The sequence below is a fragment of the Homo sapiens genome, chromosome X, assembly GCF_000001405.40.
Source record: "Homo sapiens chromosome X, GRCh38.p14 Primary Assembly".
NCBI classification, from domain to species: Eukaryota; Metazoa; Chordata; class Mammalia; order Primates; family Hominidae; genus Homo; species Homo sapiens.
Window position 1 is genome coordinate 97,837,553 of NC_000023.11, and position 13,673 is coordinate 97,851,225.

Sequence of the window (13,673 nt, forward strand, 5' to 3'; positions counted from 1 at the left end):
CATACCTCAAAACATTGCATACATCTCATCTCCTCTATTAACAAGCAGATACATGAGCCTTCTACATTTCTGTGTAAATAGAATGTGTAGGTGCTCGATGAGTATTTGTTAACTGTAGTAAAACACATGAAATAATGAAATGACAGATCTAACCATGTTGATTCTATTTCCTACCTCTCTATCGCATGTGTTCTTCCTTTTCTAACACTATTGCCACTGCTGCCAGACTTTGATGATTCTCTCTGGATTACTGCAACAGCATCTTACTGGTACACAGTCCCTCTAATGCTACATTTTCCTCCTCAAGGTCAGTGTCCTTAAAACACTTCAACAAGTTTCTATTTACCTCAGCATAACAAACACATTCATTAAAATGCTTCCAAGGACCTTGATGATCTGGCCCCTGCTGACCTCTCAAGTCCTTGTCTCTCTCCCCTGCCCCTGTTCCTATCCTTCAGTCACACTGGGTCTACTTGCTGTCTCTTCTGTGCTCTGGTCTTTAATAACCCACATTATTGCACATTCCACTGGATCCACCTGGAACAACCCTGCACCCCCCCGCCCCTACATAATTTCCAAACATACTTTAAGACACAGTTCTAGAGACAATTCTGGAAAGCCTTCCTTGACCCTGCCTCACGTCACCCAGGCTGCCTTCTCGTCTCACTTTCTTAGCATCTGCTGCTAACTTCTATCACAGAACTTACCATATTCGTCCATCTTTCTGTTCACGTCCTCACTCCTTCTAACAGACAAAACTAAACCATGAACTCTTAAATGGTAGGGACCACATCTGTCCTGCTTACAATTGCGTCTCCAGGACATAGTATAATGCCCAGTATATACCAGGTGCTCAAGACACATTTGATGAATGAATGCTTTAGGGTGCTAGTGCTCTAGGCAAGGGATGGGCAGTTCCCAGAATATTGGAATAGAACATATCCAAATGTGAGGTCCTTGGACAATAAATAAGCAACCAAACTAGGCACCATCTAATAAGTCAAAAACTTTTATTACTTGCCCTCCCAACACAGTGGAGTCAGGAGACAGGAAAAAGACCACACATTTTATGTTCCTAGTGGTAAAAAATAAAAATAAAAATAGCCACAGCAGCAATAACAATCATTTATTAACTGCTTACTTTGGGCTCAGGCACTATAGTACATACCCTATGTAGATTATCTCATTTAAAATTCACAGTGATTCTATGAGGTAGGTACTATTAATTTTTTGCAGATGAGAACTTTAATGCTCAGGGTGGTTCGATATGTTTCCCATGGACCGCACAACTAGTAAATGGTAGAGCTTTGGTTCAATACCATTTCTGTCTGGCTTAAAACCCCAGGCACTTAACTGCTGCCCTGTATTGTCCAGAAAAGAGTTAAACTTTAAAACACAAAAACAGAAAGACGGTCATGCACAAACACAACACTGCTGAGGATGCCTGTAAGGAAAATCCAGAGCATAAGTTCCTCAACTTGTCTCCTTCCTGCCACTTCCTTTAAATCTGAATGAAAGAAGCCTCTAAGGAGATAAACTGGAGAGGTCAATGTACCATTGCTTTTCTAACATTTGAGACTCTGAAAATTTACTGGACAGTTTCCATTTAGGTTGTTTTTTCTATTTTTTGCTAACATCAGCTGCAGGCTTTTGTAGCAATATGGAGGGGGAACACTGGCCACAGGGATGGAGGAACTTGCCTGAGTCCTCCTGGGGACTGAGCCCCAGATGTGGATGAGAGGAGCAGGGGTAGCAAGAGAAACTTAGAGTATTAAGCTGTTCTTTCAAAGTGAGTGCTCTCCTACCTGCACCTTAAATAAGCCTTGGCCTGGCAGGGACACTGCAGTCAAATCTCAATCTCTCTCTCTCTTTCAATCCCCCCTCCCCGAATTTTCTTAAGAAGATTCTCAGCATGGACCATCTCTTCAGCGATACTGTTGAGTGTGAGGGTGGGCACATATTTTAATTCTTCTTACCCATGCCTCGTCCTTCATATTCAACTCCTATCTTCCTTGACTGTTTTAATTTTCCACTTTCCTTTATAATTTCTCACTTTCACATGCCAGTAATATACCAGAGATTAGGTATTTATGCTGTCACTTGGGCTACAGGATTTATTGTAGTAGAATGCATTTGGATGTAGGGGAGAATGTGAAACAATTGTAGTCACCCAGGAGAAAGGTGACCAGAATTCTAAACAAAGATTTGATTCTGAAAAAGGAGACTGAGAAAGTGCAGCAAAGGCCTTTTTTGGAAATCTTGTTTCCATATTCTATGTTGCTTATGTTTCATATGCTATCACAATCACAATTTAAAAACATGCAAAAAAAAATTAAGATGCTCTTAATTGAGAATAGTTGCTATTCAGACTATTGACAGAGAAATATAGATGCATGTGAAATCCTGCTGCAACAGATGATATTAACCATCTTATGTTAGATACTGGCAGAAGTGAGTCTAGTTTGATAGGGGCCCTCAGCTGTGGATTAGCCATCTTTGTGTTTGTCTCTCTAAAGAGATGGTATTTTAATAGTATTTGTTATAATAAGAATTGTCCTGAAGCAATCAAAATGTATCTAGTGTTCCTGGGATTGTGCTTTATGGTCTATGCCTTCATTATGATCATTCATTTATTAATGTGCTAAAAGGGGAATACTTTGCCATTAACAGAAGAAAATGGCAAAAAAGGGTTGTGACATTGGGCAAGCAGGCCTTTAATGGAGATGGGAAAGCATCAAATATCCTCCTTTCATTTGTCAGAGATAAATTCATTTTCAAATATATACCACTTCACTCTATTCAAAGGTACTGAAATAGGGCATTTCTTACAGGCCATTTTGAACACTAATTGCATTTAAATATTGGGGACGAAATCATTTAACCTGAACTGTATTTGTAGACAATTTTAAAACACATTTCCTCTCAAGAAAAAATGTAAAAAGAAAAATATGTCTAACGAATTTTTAAATGTATTAGGGATGAATACTGAAAGCAGGAATCATAACCAGAAAGAGAAATCTAAAAAGATGGAAAGAAGATAGAATTAAATCTCAAATAGCTGAATTATTGGGCTTAGAAGTTGCTATTTCAGAAAGATCCATTCAGCACAAAATGCTAATAATTACAGTATATGTCTGCCTGCTCATGGTTCTGTGGCTACCTGTGACCAGTCATCATTCATATACAGACAGAAGTCAGATTCTACTTTGCTCTCTTGGCTGTCTTAAGCAAATTACTGGCAAAGTATGAATGCAGAGACTACAAATGACTGGAAGAAGAGGTGAGTGGGGAATGATAACAAGTCAGATGAGGATAAGATAATCATAAGAAAAGAGAAGAGAAAACATGGCAACATTTTCCACTCTTAAAAATGTCTCCACCAACCTGGACTTTATTCCTAGGTTTAAATTAATAGATACAATGAATATATATCAAAAAGGCTTTAAAATGTACATGACCTTTGATCCAGAAATTCTACTTTAGGAATACCTCAGGTAAATTAATAAAGATGTGGTCCAAAACAGAGTTGTAATGAAGTTCGTTGCAGCATGATTTGTTATAGCAAAACATTGGAAACAACTTAAAAGTATATACAAAAGGATTTATTAAATTATGGCATGTCTATAAGATGGAATATTTTGCTGCCACTAAAATTATGATTTCTATTTTTATTGGCATAGAATATGATCATTATTGTTGAGAAAAAGGATTATAAAACGACCCACAGTATGATCCCTTAAAAGTATACATAGAAAGATGCCTGAAGAACATACAGCATTACCAGTAATTGCCTCTAAATGGTTTTTATTATGGGTGCTTTTTATCTTTTTTTTTTCTCCTTTTCCTTTTTCTTGTTTTCATTCTTTTTTCTTGTTTCTATGCTAAGATATTTCTGCCATGAATATACATTGGTTTTATTAACATAAAATTGTTAGGCAGGTCACCCAAGATGGCCGTTCCTCCAGGACCCAAGATGGCAGCACCAACCCCTTCTCCCCCCACCCCCGCCCCCCGCCCGCTTGGAATCTCCCACCAGATTTTCCTGCTGGACGGGCACTTTCAGATGACTGCAGCCCCGAGAAGTCGAAACCTATCCCAGAAAACCGAAACTTACTAAGCCCCTCCCCGCGTGCTCTATAAAAACCCTCTACTGCCCCAGTCGGGCGCGACTTCCCTGGCCCTCCTTGTTAGGACCAGTGAACCTCGCCCGAGAGCTCCATTAATAAAGCAGGTCGCCTCTGACCATTAGTCACCTAAATTCTGTGCGGTAGTTCTCATTGGATACCTGTCTTCCCAAGCCGGACATTGGTGCCAAAACCCGGGAGGAGACCCCTCTCTGACCCAGGGTCGGGGAGCATCTCCTCTCCCTACCTGCCAGGAACCAGACTCGGGCCAGCGCATTCGGCCTTTGCTATTGGGTAAGTCTCCCCTCCGTCCTGTAGGCCCCGGGAACCTCTGTCTGTAATCGCGGCCACTCAGAGTCTTCCCCCCATCAGTTTCCGACTACGGGACCGAGGACGCGGAGACGTCCGTCCTCCTCGGCCTCCGCCATCCGCGCTTCAAGGAAGGTTGGGGGATGCCCCTCCCTGACCTTGAATCGCCCGCCTCAGGACAATGGGAGGTGCCCAATCCAAAATTGATCCTAAGACACCCCTGGGGTGTCTCCTAGCCAACTTTGAAGCTCTAGGCCTCAGTATGGACCTTAAGCGGAAGCGACTCATTTTCTTTTGCTTGGTCGCTTGGCCGCAATACAAATTGGACAACCAATCTCGGTGGCCGCCGGAAGGAACTTTCGATTTCCAAATTTTACAGGACCTAGACAACCTTTGCAGAAGACAAGGCAAATGGTCAGAGGTCCCTTATGTACAAGCCTTTTGGGACCTACGCTCTCGTCCTGACCTATGTGCCAAGTGTTCCCTTGGACAGGTGTTACTGGCTAAGGCATCCCCCTCTAACAAAGAACCTGATTCCTCCCCTCTCTCCGAGCCTCCTGAAGCCCTCGCTTTACCACCATTGCCAGCGGCGCTCCCTCCTCCCTATCCAGGATCCTCTGGCCCCACCCCAACGGCTCCTCCGCTACCTCCTACACCACCTTCCTCTCCCGCTAACCCTCCCGCTTCTGCTCTGCCACCGCCTTCCCCTGTATCTGCGCACACTCGGTCGAAGACGGACCTCTTGTGTCTGCTCCGTGAAGTTGCCGGTGCGGAAGGCGTGGTCAGGGTCCATGTTCCCTTTTCTCTTACTGACTTATCTAAAATAGAGAAGCGGCCTGGGTCCTTCTCTGCCAACCCAACCCTGTATATCAAACAATTTAGGTACCTATGCCAGGCTTATGACCTCACCTGGCGTGACCTACATATTATCCTAACATCCACTCTGTCCCCAGAGGAGAGGGAGCGAGTCCAGGCGGTGGCTAGGCAACATGCCGACCAAATTCATTTAACTGACCCCGCCATGCCTGTCGGAACCCTAGCAGTACCGGCAGCCGAGCCGGACTGGGATTACCAAGCTGGTCAGACTGGCCGTCGACGCCGTGACCAAATGGTTCAGTGCCTTCTGGCAAGCATGCAGGCGGCTTCCAATAAGACGGTCAACTTTGACAAATTACGGGAGATTATTCAAGGGTCTGACGAGAACCCAGCAGTTTTCCTTAACTGCCTTACTGAGGCCCTCATCCAGTATACCCGCCTTGATCCCACCTCCCCGGCAGGGGCCACTGTCTTGGCTACTCATGTCATTTCCCAATCAGCGGGAGATATTCGGAAAAAACTAAAAAAGGTGGAGGAAGGCCCTCAAACCCCAATACAGGACCTAGTTAAAATGGCCTTCAGGGTCTATAATTCCAGGGAGGAGACGGCTGAGGCCCAAAGACAGGCAAGGCTAAAGCAGAAGGTACAGTTCCAGACCCAGGCCTTGGTAGCTGCCCCGCGGCTGGCCGGCTCCGGGAGCCAACCGAAAGGGGGTTCCGGCCACCGAGCGCCACCTGGTGCCTGCTTCAAGTGTGGGAACGAAGGCCACTGGGCCTGACAATGCCCGTACCCTAAGGAACCGACCCGACCATGCCCTAACTGCCACCAGATGGGACATTGGAAGTCTGAGTGCCCCAGCGTCGGAGCGTCCACAGTGCCTCTACGCTGTGAAAACTCCGAGACGACCGGTGGCGCCTTCCAATTACTCAGCATGGACGACGACTGAAGAGGCCCAGACTCGGGAACCCCCCTCACTCTTGCCGAGCCCAGGGTAACGCTCCAGGTAGCAGGTAAGTCCATATCTTTTCTCGTGCATATGGGGGCTACCTATTCTGTTTTGCCTTCCTTCGGCGTGTCCAGTTTCCCGTCCCCGGTCACGGTAGTGGGGATTGACGGTACCCCTTCCACCCATCGTCAGACCCCCCCCCCATTGTCTTGCCGGCTGGACGACACTCTCATCTCCCATTCCTTCCTCATTATCCCTTCCTGTCCCGTCCTGCTCTTCGGAAGGGACTTGCTGTCTAAGTTAGGGGCCTCCATTCGGTTGCACCCCAGCCTCCCCTCCAGTGCAATCTCTTTGCTTCCTCTGCTGGCACTTAGCGATGACACTCCTTCGCCGATCCCATTGCTCCCTGTGCCCGTTGATCCAATAGTATGGGACATCTCAACCCCCTCCATCGCCCGACACCATGCCCCAATAATGATCAAACTCAAGGACCCTACCAAATTTCCCTCGCGGCCACAATTCCCCATCTCAGTTGAACACCGCCAAGGGTTAAAACCTATCATCACCAGGCTCTTGCAACAACACATCCTTATCCCGGTAAACTCCCGTTGCAACACGCCCATTCTGCCCATCCGTAAGGCCTCTGGTGCGTACCGTTTAGTGCAAGATCTTCGCATCATCAACGAGGCTGTCGTCCCCATTTTTCCTGTAGTGCCTAACCCATACACTCTCCTATCCCGCATTCCTCCGACCACCACCCATTTCACGGTCCTTGACCTCAAAGATGATTTCTTCACTATCCCCCTCCACCCTGACTGTTACTTCCTGTTCGCTTTCACCTGGGAAGACCCTGACACCCATGTCTCCTCGCAATTTGCCTGGACCGTTCTCCCGCAAGGCTTCCGAGACAGCCCTCACCTCTTTGGACAGGCTCTAGCTAAAGACCTCAGTACATGCACTTTGGCCGACAGCACCCTTCTCCTGTATGTTGATGACCTTCTCCTTTGCAGTCCTTCCCTGTCTGTCTCGCAGCAAGATACAGCCACAATCCTTAATTTCTTAGGAAAACAAGGGTATCGAGTTACCCCTCACAAAGTTCAGCTCTGCACCCCGACAGTCACATACCTAGGCATTTCTCTCACCGCCACCACCAAAAGCCTCACCACAGACCGAGTTAGCCTCATTAAAGACCTCCAACTTCCCCAGGACGCAGATAAGATCCTCTCCTTCGTAGGGCTAGTAGGGTTCTTCCGGCACTGGATCCCAAACTTCGGGGTCTTAGCTAAGCCCCTGTACCAGGCGGCGAAAGAAACACCCACCAGCCCTCTGTCTGATCCCGCCCTAGTGGCCCGCCATTTCCACCGGCTGCAGCAGTGCTTACTCACAGCTCCAGTTGTATCCCTGCCGAACCCCCTGCGGCCTTTTCATCTCTACACAGATGAACTGCAGGGAGTTGCTACTGGCCTACTAGGGCAACCGGTAGGACCCACCTATCAGGTGGTGGCTTACCTTTCCAGGCAGCTTGATCCCAGCACTCGGGGCTGGCAGCCCTGCCTGCGGGCCTTAGCAGCGGCGGCAGAGCTTACCAAAGAGGCCCTCAAACTTACTCTCAGTCACCCACTCACAGTATACTCCCCGCACCGCTTGACAGATGTACTCTCTCACAAATGTCTGGCCCATCTGGCGCCCTCCAGAATACAGCTGTTTCATGTGCTCTTTGTCGAAAACCCAGATATCACCCTGACCGCCTCACCACCTCTTAACCCTGCTACACTTCTTCCCATAGAAGCCTCTGAGCCCCCTCCTGTCCTGTCGCATTCTTGTCCCGAACTCCTTACCTCTAACCCCAACTCCCGACTTGGCCTCTTCGATCGACCGCTTTCTAATCCTGACAGCACTCTGTTTGTCGATGGCAGCTCAGTCCTCACCCCTTGCGGTAGGCGACAGGCAGCTTACGCCGTAGTCACCCACGACAAAACAGTGGAGGCGGCAGCCCTACCCCTTGGGACCACTTCGCAGAAGGCTGAACTCCTTGCTCTTACCAGGGCTCTACTCCTCTCTCAGGGACAGCGGGTCAACATTTACACTGACTCCAAGTATGCGTATTCTCATTGCACACACGCATTCTGTTCTCTGGCAGGAGCGAGGTTTCCTTACTATGAAAGGGACTTCAATCGTCAACGGGCCTCTTATCCATAAACCCTTAAATGCCTTACAGGCGCCCCGAGAGGTGGCGATCATACACTGCAAAAGTCACCAGCACTCAAAAGACCCTGTTGCTCAAGGAAATAATCTAGCCGACTCTACTGCTAAGTCTCTTGCTCTTACTTCTGCCCCTGCCCCAGCTCCCGCAATGTTCCTGTCCGGTTCACGCACCCCTGCCTATTCTCCACAGGAGACCTTCCACCTCATTTCCAACTTAAAAGGAATGACCGACCAAGACGGTTGAATCTGGGTCGATAACCGGATTGCCCTCCCCGAATCCCAGGCTCAGGCTATTATTACCGATGTGCACAAGACCCTACTCATAGGCCCAAAACTCTTACATCAGTTCTTAGAACCAATTTTTCTATGCCCCGGCCTACAGTCCCTCATTCACCAGGTACACCAAACCTGTGCTGTCTGTTCAACAGTCAACACACAAGGAGGACTTAGGCGCCCAGGGCCCCATCACCAGCTCCGCGGGCATCAGCCAGGAGAGGACTGGCAGCTAGATTTCACCCACATGCCGCGGCACAAGCATTACCGCTACCTTCTTACTCTTGTAGATACCTTCACAGGCTGGATTGAGGCCTTTCCCACTGCACGTGAGACAGGAGAAGTCGCAGTCTCTGTCCTGCTAGAACATATCATCCCTCGCTTTGGACTTCCCCGATCCCTGCAATCAGACAACGGCCCCGCGTTCGTCTCAAAAATCACTCAGCAAGTATCCGAGTCGCTCCGCGTCACATGGAAGCTCCATATCCCTTACCGCCCTCAATCCTCTGGTAAAGTAGAAAGGGCTAACAGCCTCCTCAAAGAACACCTTACAAAACTTACTCTTGAAACAAAGCTGTCGTGGGTCACCCTCCTACCATTGGCCCTGACCCGCCTCCGGGCAGCTCCCAGGGGCCCCACAGGGCTCAGCCCCTTCGAACTTCTCTACGGACGCCCCTTCCTACTTCCTGGTCTTCCCCCCACTGTTTCGCCCCCTCCCCTCGCGTCCTATCTTCCTTATCTGACCCTCCTTCGCGACCTTCTCCGCAAGCACGCGGACGCCTGCCTCCCCGAACCTACCCCCTCCTCCCCGGACGCCCCTGTTGTGCTCTCTCCAGGTGATAGTGTCCTCCTTAAGGAACTACAGTCCAAGACCTTGACCCCGCGGTGGTCAGGCCCTTACACCGTGATCCTCACCACTCCGAGGGCCACTAAGTTACTAGGTCTACCATCCTGGTATCATTTGTCACAGTTGAAGAAAGCACCGACTCAGCACGACTGGTCCTCAAAACTCACCCCAACCCGGCTTCGTATCACCCATGGCCAGACCTTCCCCACTATGCCTCCTACTCCTCCTGACCCTCCTAACCCCCATAGTGCCCAGTAACTCCCTCCTAACTGAACCCCCGTTCCGATGGAGGTTCTACCTGCATGAGACTTGGACCCAAGGCAACCGGCTCTCCACTGTCACACTGGCAACGGTGGACTGCCAACCTCACGGTTGTCAGGCCCAAGTAACTTTTAACTTCACTTCCTTTAAAAGTGTTCTGCGGGGCTGGTCCAATCCCACCATCTGCTTTGTCTATGATCAAACACACAGCAACTGCCGCGACTATTGGGTGGACACAAACGGAGGATGCCCCTATGCCTATTGTCGTATGCATGTGACCCAGCTCCATACCGCCAAGAAACTCCAACACACCTATCGCCTGACATCTGATGGAAGGACAACTTACTTCCTGACCATCCCAGACCCATGGGATTCTCGGTGGGTCAGTGGAGTCACTGGTCGACTGTACCGGTGGCCCACCGACTCCTACCCAGTTGGCAAACTCCGGATATTCCTGACTTATATACGAGTTATCCCCCAGGTTTTGTCTAATTTAAAGGACCAAGCAGACAACATTAAGCATCAGGAAGAGGTCATCAATACTTTGGTGCAGTCCCATCCGAAGGCTGACATGGTCACCTATGATGACAAGGCTGAGGCAGGACCGTTTTCATGGATAACCCTAGTCCGCCACGGGGCTCGCCTTGTTAATATGGCAGGCCTAGTTAATCTCTCCCACTGTTTCCTTTGCACCGCCCTCAGCCAACCACCACTAGTAGCTGTACCCCTACCCCAGGCTTTTAACACCTCTGGTAACCACACTGCCCACCCTTCCGGCGTCTTCTCTGAGCAGGTCCCTCTTTTCCGAGACCCCCTCCAGCCCCAGTTCCCCTTCTGCTACACCACTCCTAACTCATCCTGGTGCAACCAGACCTATTCTGGCTCCCTATCTAACCTCTCTGCACCGGCAGGTGGCTACTTCTGGTGTAACTTCACCCTTACAAAACATCTTAATATTTCCTCTAACAATACCCTTTCTAGAAACTTATGCCTCCCCATCTCTCTGGTGCCTCGACTCACTCTGTACAGCGAGGCTGAACTCTCTTCCCTTGTCAACCCGCCTATGCGTCAGAAGCGGGCCGTTTTCCCACCGCTGGTAATAGGTGTCTCCTTGACCTCCTCACTTGTTGCCTCCGGGCTGGGCACAGGTGCTATTGTACATTTCATAAGCTCTTCCCAAGATCTCTCTATTAAGCTCCAGATGGCCATCGAAGCCTCAGCCGAATCCTTAGCCTCTCTACAGAGACAGATTACGTCTGTGGCCAAGGTGGCCATGCAGAACCGGAGAGCCCTAGATCTCCTCACAGCCGACAAAGGCGGAACCTGCATGTTTCTCGGGGAAGAGTGCTGTTATTACATCAATGAATCAGGCTTAGTAGAAACCAGCCTCCTCACCCTTGATAAAATCCGGGACGGTCTCCATCGACCCTCCTCAACTCCCAACTATGGAGGAGGGTGGTGGCAATCCCCTTTAACCACTTGGATTATCCCTTTCATAAGCCCCATCCTAATCATTTGCCTTTTACTTCTCATAGCCCCCTGTGTCCTCAAGTTCATCAAAAACCGCATCAGCGAAGTCTCCCGGGTGACGGTCAACCAAATGTTACTACACCCTTACTCCCGTCTTCCGACCTCCGAAGACCACTATGACGACGCCCTCACTCAGCAGGAAGCAGCCAGATGATTACGTCGCCCCTTTTTCTTACAGTATGAGGTCGGAATGTTAGGCAGGTCACCCAAGATGGCTGTTCCCCCAGGACCCAAGATGGCGGCACGAACCCCTTCTTCCCCGCCCCCCCCACCGCTTGGAGTCTCCCACCAGATTTTCCCGCCCGACGGGCACTTTCCGATGACAGCAGCCCCGAGAAGTCGAAACCTATCCCAGAAAACCGAAACTTACTAAGCCCCTCCCCACACGCTCTATAAAAACCCTCTACTGCCCCAGTCGGGTGCGACTTCCCTGGCCCTCCTTGTTAGGACCAGTGAACCTCGCCCGAGAGCTCCATTAATAAAGCAGGTCGCCTCTGACCATTAGTTACCTAAATTCTGTGCGGCACTTCTCATTGGATACCTGTCTTCCCAAGCCGGACAAAAATGAATAAAACAAAATTTGTTTTCGAATGGTTTAGTTGCCAAGGCAACACTAGTTCCAGAAACTCAGAATGCCCCTTTGTATGATTATGTGCAAGTACATACCTCCGTTGAGCCTCAGTTTACTCATTTGTGATATGGAATAAAAGCACCTATTTTACAAGGTTGCTGAGAGGATTCGATAAGACCAAGTGCGTCAAAGTGGCTGGCACAATGCTCAGCATATTGATGAGTTCAGTAAACACCGAGTCTACAACTGAATAATAGGTCAATAATCTGTATTTCACATGAGCATCAATAAACTAGAAGATTTGTATATTCTATTATTTAGATAGTGAGGGAAATCTGTTCTTCAAACATAAACAAGGTAGGTTCCAACATGGGGTATAGCGAGGCTACTCTTACTCTGTGTCTTGAGACTTTGTGGAATGTGAAGATTTGGAAGGGCGTGGCCAGACAAGCTAAGATTAATCCAAGCACCTACTTCACCAGCAGACACCAGAGCCCACGACCTCCCTCATATGAGTGCAAAGACAGAGTAGTACAACAACACATGGTTTGCTCATTCCTTGTTAAAATGGAAAATGTCAACTAAAAATAATTTTCTTTAAATACTACCATTAACAAAACCCAAGAGTTTTGAGCAAACAGATGTTTAAAAAGAAACTTATTTTCTAAAGTGTAACTGGGACAATGTAACCAGCCAAATTGCTATATATTCAGTTGCCAAGACACTGATATTGGCAAGTTCTATATTGCTCTCTATTGGTAGATGGAAGAAACTCCAGATAATGAATGAAGAGCAAATGGCACTTCTGAACTAGAGCAGAGTGGTTTCCTTAGTCATTTAACAAATATTTATAGAGCATGTAAATATTTGGAATGCTCTGGTAGGCACTAATGGCAATGGGATTAGGACCCCTGCCCTCAAGGAATTTCACATGAGAAAGGTGAATTAAAGTAGATTAGCTATCAAGAAACCTCAGTTCCATTTAATGTTCTGTTTAAGAGTGACTTGCATATGTCACACAACAACGCAGTGCCTTGGTTTCTCAATTTTTAAAATATGGAAAACTATATTGCTTTTCTTGAGGACTAAATATATGAAGAATTTGAAATTGTTTCAAGCTTTTGCTGGAAAAAGCTTTTTTTGGAAAATACTGAGATTTTTTTTCCAGGCAATATTATAAGAAAATGCAGTATTTTCCTTTATCCTTGTTTCTTCCTTGAGAAGTCTTAGAAATTACCAACAACAGCAACAACAACAACAACAACAACAACAACAACAACAAATGCTCCAATTTTTAAATCGGTTAATCTTCATTTGAAGGGTTTTTTCTTCTCTTTATTTTTTCATTTTACAGTCTGTTCATCTTTAGCCCTCATGTGTATATTTAAATACATCATTGTGGAATTGCAAATGTGTAGTTTGTTTATTTCTCTTTGCTCCCAAATTGCTCCCCAATCCAGTTTATTTTTCAAAAGCAATTTAAAGGTGCATCTTTCAGTGGGTTAATCTAGGCAATCTGTTTGTTGGTTCTGTTCTCTCAACTGTTGAGTAATAGTTATTGGATTATTCAAAAGGGAGAGAGTTGGCTTATTTCAAATAACATGGGCAAGATTCTCGTTTCACATGGTTGTGCCAGTGCACCTGACAACCCACCAGCAACACATTCCTTTCTCCATACTCTGGCATCTCTTGGCTACCCTCCACTGAGCCAGGTCCAACAGACTTCATTGATGACTCAGTGAAGAACATAAACATATATTTGGCTAAAAACAGGGGTGAAATTCATCTTTT

At 47.5% G+C, this 13,673-nt stretch overlaps 1 protein-coding gene across 1 annotated transcript; it reads left to right on the top strand.

Moving 5' to 3' along the window:
* Positions 1-4,193: 4,193 nt before the first annotated feature.
* ERVFC1 (endogenous retrovirus group FC1 Env polyprotein) lies at positions 4,194-11,829 on the top strand. Its single transcript, XM_011531085.3, has 3 exons — positions 4,194-4,418; positions 6,079-6,259; positions 8,964-11,829. The coding sequence occupies exon 3, from the start codon at positions 9,711-9,713 to the stop codon at positions 11,463-11,465; it is 1,755 nt and encodes a 584-aa protein (XP_011529387.1). The 5' UTR covers positions 4,194-4,418; positions 6,079-6,259; positions 8,964-9,710; the 3' UTR covers positions 11,466-11,829.
* Positions 11,830-13,673: the final 1,844 nt, after the last annotated feature.